The 5,412-nt window shown below is 33.3% G+C and overlaps 1 annotated feature.

Annotated features, from left to right (window-relative positions):
* Positions 1,055-1,643: an enhancer, noted in NCBI's record as "OCT4-NANOG hESC enhancer chr2:200043891-200044479 (GRCh37/hg19 assembly coordinates)". NCBI's record gives its function as "activates a minimal SCP1, AML or CMV promoter by ChIP-STARR-seq in primed H9 embryonic stem cells {active_cell/tissue: H9 hESC(primed)}" and the evidence as "EXISTENCE:reporter gene assay evidence [ECO:0000049][PMID:30033119]".

The following is a 5,412-nucleotide window of genomic DNA, read 5'->3' as shown; positions in this document are numbered from 1 at the left end:
AATTGAAAGTGCCATTTTCTGGCTATTTGGAACTACTGTCGAGTTTGTATTGGGGTCAAGTGGCATTGCAGAAGAAAATAAGATGCTTAGATTTTAGGTCATTTGAGAGTTGAAGAGGTTTTAAGTTCTTAAGAACACAGGCAAAGGGAGAAGGAGGAATGGAGGGTGGAAGGTTGCCCATAGTGAAGGAGGCAAGCCCAGAGAAAAGAGAGAGTAGAGACATGGAGGGAAGGGGTTTGGGGGTTCTTACCCTCCAGAAAAGTGGGAAAGGGGTCGGGGCACAGAGATACGAGGTCGGGGCATAGAAATAAGGGATTGGGGCACAGAGATATAAGAGGTTGGGGCACAGAAATAAGGGATCGGGGCACAGAGATATATGGGGTTAGGGTACTTGCCCCTCCCCTAGAAAAGCAGGACTTGCCGCTAAGGGTGAAGGAGAAGGGGTTGGGGGTTTCTTGCCCCCCAGAAAGGTGGAAAAGGGGTAGAGACACAGAGAGAAGGGGTTGGGGTACTTGCCCCTCCCCCAGAAAAGTGGGACTTGCTGCTAAGGGTGAAGGACCAAGGCAGGCGTCCCTGCGTGGTCTGACACCTCTGAAACGTGGGTGAATAATCAGAGAGGTGTCCCTGCAATGATTAAACACCAAGGGAAGGCTGCCTTCCCAGTCTATCACCAGCGCCGGAGTTTTGGGTCTACGGATAAAATGTGTCTCCTTTGTCTCTACCAGAAAATGAAAGGAATTGAAATTAAAAGAAGGGAGAGATTGAAGTGTGGTGCCGAGATTGAAAGGAGAAAGAGGTTGAGGGATAGTGAAGGAGGTTGGAGAAGAGAGTAAAAAGAGGCCGCTTACCGGATTTGAAATTGGTGAGATGTTTCTTGGGCTGGTCGGTCTGAGGACCTGAGGTCATAAGTGGATCTTTCTTACCGAGCAAAGAACAGGAGGACAGGGGATTGATCTCCCAAGGGAGGTCCCCTGATCTGAGTCACAGCACCAAATTTCACTCGCATCCGTGTGAAGAGACCACCAAACAGGCTTTGTGTGAGCAACATGGCTGTTTATTTCACAGGGGGGCAGGCAGGCTGAGTCCGAAAAGACAGTCATCGAAGGGAGATAGGGGTGGGGCCGTTTTATAAGATTTGGGCAGATAAAGAAAAATTACAGTCAAAGGGGATTTGTTCTCTGGTGGGCAGGGTTGGGGGTCGCAAGGTGCTCAGTGGGGGTGTTTTTGAGCCATCATGAGCCAGGAAAAAGACTTTCACAAGGTAATGTCATCACTTAAGGCAAGGACCAGCCATTTACATTTCTTTTGAGGTGGAATGTCATCAGTTAAGGCGGGGCAGGGCATTTTCACTTCTTTTGTGATTCTTCAGTTACTTCAGGCCATCTGGGCATATAGGTGCAAGTCACAGGGGATGCGATGGCTTGGCTTGGGCTCAGAGGCCTGACAGATACTAATGATAGAGTTCAAAGACTGATGAATGTGTACCCATATAATAACAACTCAATTAAGATTTAGATCATTTCCATCACCCCAGCAAGCTCCCTTGTGATTCGTTTCCCATCACTCTCCATTCTCCCTTCCAATCACCCCACGCAACTACTATTCTGATTTCTATCATCAGATTTTTGTTTTGCCTCTTCTGAAACTTTAGGTAAATGGAATCATACTTTTTGTTGGGCTTTTTTCTTTCAACACGATTTTGAGATTCATCCATGTTGCCTGTGTCAGTGATTTGTTTCTTCTTATGGCATGAGTGTATCAGTTTGCTAACCTTTTGCTTGTTCATAGGCATTTTGGCTATTTCCAGTTTGGCCTGTTATAAATAAAGTTGCTATAAACATTTCTGTACAAACTTTTGTAGAAATAAGTTTTCATTTCTTTTGGGTAAATAGCTGGAAGTAGAATGGTTGGGTCACTGGGTTGTATATGTTTACCTTTATAAAAAATTACCAAATACTTTTCCAAAGTGATGATACCATTTTTCACTTCTACCTGCAACATATTAGAGTATCAGTTGTTTTACAGCATAACTAATACTTGGTAGACAAATCTTTTAATTTTAGCCATTGTGGCAGATAGGCAGGAATAGTTTATTGTAGTTTTAATTTGCATTTTCCTGGCAACTGATAATGTTGAAAACATTTTATGTACATGTTGGTTATTTTTATATCTTTTATGAAGTGTCTTTCCCTATTGTTTTTATTTGGTTGCCTGTTTTATTACTGGGCTGTACAAGTTTTAGAAATTTCCTAAATACAATCCTAAATTCATAATTATGAAATTATGAATTCATGTTATGAATTCATAAATTATGAAATTATGAATTATGAAATTATGAAATCCTAAATTCATATTATGAAATTTCCTAAATTCATAATACGTAGGTATTATGAATTCTTTTACCCTGTCTGTGGCTAGCTTATTCATTTTACTAGTAATGTCTTTTGATGAGCAATTTTGAATTTTGATGAATTCTCATTTTTCAAAATTTCCTCTGGTCCATTCTATCTGTCTTGTGTGAAAATTTTTTGTCTACCTTATGTTTGTGAAAATATAAGGCAATTTCTTTTATAAAAGCATTATAGTTTTATCTTTAATGTTATGTCAATGATTCATCTCAAAATAATTTGTATGTAGAGTTTGAAGTAGGAGTCAAGGATCAATTTTCTTCCTATATGGATACACGATTGTTTCAGTCCCATTTGTTGAAAAGACTTTCCTTTGGTCACCAAATATATTGTTTTGGCACATACGTAAAAACCAGTTCACCATAAGATGGTGGGTCTCTTTCAAGACTCTTATATATTTGTCTATTCTTATGTCATTGCAACACTTATTTGATATTGTAGCTTTATAGTAGTAAATCTTGAAATTAGATAGTGTAAGTCTTCCAGCTTTATTCTACTTTTTCAAGATGTTTTGGCTATCTTAGCTCTTTTCATTTTTACATAAATTTTGAAAATTAGCTTGTCAGTTTCTACAAAAACTTGTTAGGATTTTTATTGAGATTCCGTGAATCTAAAGATCAATTTAGTGAGAAGTTACATCTTAATACTATTTATCTCAATCAATAAACATGGGTCATCTCACTATTTATTTGAGTCTTCATTAATTTCTCTCAACATTATTTGGTAGTATTCAGAGTAAATGTGTTGGACAGCTTATATTCAACTTATTCCTGGGTATTTTATGGTTTTTTGATACTATTATAAATGGTGCTTTTGAATTTCATTTTTCATTTGTTGTTGCTAGTATATAGAAACACAATGGTTTTTATTGTCCTTGTATCCTGCAAATATACTAAATTTTCTTACTAGATTTAATAGATTATTTTGGATTACTTAGCAATTTTTATGTATACAATTATATTGTCTGCAGATAAGGACAATTTTATTTCTCCCACTCCAGTGTTTATGCATTTTATTTCTTTCTCTTACCTTATTGCATTGCCAAGGGCCTCTGGTACAATGTTTAATAAAAGTAGTGAGAGTGAACATGCTTACTTTTTTACTAATCTTAGAAGGGGGAAAGCATTCAGTCTTTAATCATTAAGTATAATGTTAGTTATAGGTTTTTCATAGATGCCTTTTCCTTTATTAGACTGAGGAAATTTCCTTTTGTTACTAGTTTGCTGAGAGTTTTAATCATGAATGGGCGTCAAAATTTGCATTAGCTTTTCCACATCGATTGTGATGTTTGTTGATTTTTTTGAATATTGAACCAACCTTACATTCTTGGATTAAATCCCACTGGGAGGGATATAGATATACATATATATAAGTATATGTAGTAATGTATATAGTAATAAATAGTAATATAGTATAAATAGTAATACTATAAATAGTAATATATAGTAATATAAATATATATTAGTATGTGTATATATAGTAATATAGATATATAGTAAGATAATATAGTAATATAGATATATATTACTATATATACATATACCCATAAATACTATATATACTATATGACTATATATACATATACCTATAAATAATAATAGAAATAGTAATAAATAGTAATATCATATAAATAGTAATATATAGTAATATAAATAGATATGTATCTCTCTATATTAGAATATGTATAAATAAATATGTATCTATTTATATTAGTATATATACTAATTTATATATCTCTAATATATATTTACTAATATTACTAATATTTACTAATAATATTAGTAAATCAAGTATATATAAAATAAAAATTGTATTATATATAAAACTATTTTTTGCATCAACATTTATGGGAAATATTGTTCTGTAATTTATTTTTTAGCAATGATTCTTGTCTGGTTTTGTTGTAAAGATTATGATGGCCTCATAAAATTAGTTGAGAACTGGTCCCACTTTCTTTCATTTCTTAAAGAGTTTGTGTAACATTGGTATAATTTTTCCTTAGCTCATTGATATAATTCACTAGCGAGGTCATTTGGGCTCCTAGTGTTCTTTATAGGAAGGTTTTTAATCATGAGTTTCATTTTTATATTAGATAGAGGACTATTCAGATTTTCTATTTTCTTTTAGCACTTTTGAACACAAATTTTTGTTTTTTAAAAATTCATTTTATCTAGATTGGTGAATTTATTAGCATAATGTTGTTTAGAATTTTTTTTTATCTTTTTAGTATCTGGTAGATCTTTTTTTATTGCTAATATTTATTTTATTTCTTTTCCCCCCACTATCAGAGAGTCAAGCTAGAGGTTTATCTTGCTTGAAAATTTTTCAGTTATTTGGATCTGTGTGCTGACATTTTTCATGAATCAAAGTTGGAAAAAAAATTAGCTATTAGTTCTTCATTTTTTTCTACCCCATCCTCTCTCTCACATCTTTTTTTCTGGCTGCAATCACATATATTAGACTTCTTGAAACTCACATATATTAGATGCTTTTGATGCATTGTTCAACTTTTTCTAATTTTCTTTTCTTTCTGTGCTTTATTTTGTCTTTAAGTTTACTGATGTATTATTTCATTCTGTTCAATCAGCTATTAATCTCATATAATATTATTTTATTTAATATACTATATTTTTTCAGTTATTTATATTTTTTGTAACTTTTCCAAATTGCTTCTAAAATTCCCCGTAGTTTCACCCATTATATTATATGCCCTATACACTGTAACATATTAATCATAGTTATTTTAACTTCCTTGTCCATTTTTTGGTAAATTTCTTTTAACTGACTTTTCCCTTGACTACAGGTCATATTTTCCTATATAGTGATTTTTGTTATATTTTGGATACTCTGGGCAATGCATTGTTGAGATGTTGGATTTTTTATTTTTCTCTGAAGAGTGTTAATTTATATTCTAGTATGCAGCTAAATTACTGGCAGTTTATTTCAGTAAGTGGAGGCTTGGTTTCTCTTTTCGAGGGTAGGTCTATTTTTTGTATTTTCCTTA

The sequence above is a fragment of the Homo sapiens genome, chromosome 2, assembly GCF_000001405.40.
Source record: "Homo sapiens chromosome 2, GRCh38.p14 Primary Assembly".
NCBI classification, from domain to species: domain Eukaryota; kingdom Metazoa; phylum Chordata; class Mammalia; order Primates; family Hominidae; genus Homo; species Homo sapiens.
Note: the sequence above shows the minus strand (reverse complement) of the source record. Positions and strands in the feature narration are given on the sequence as shown.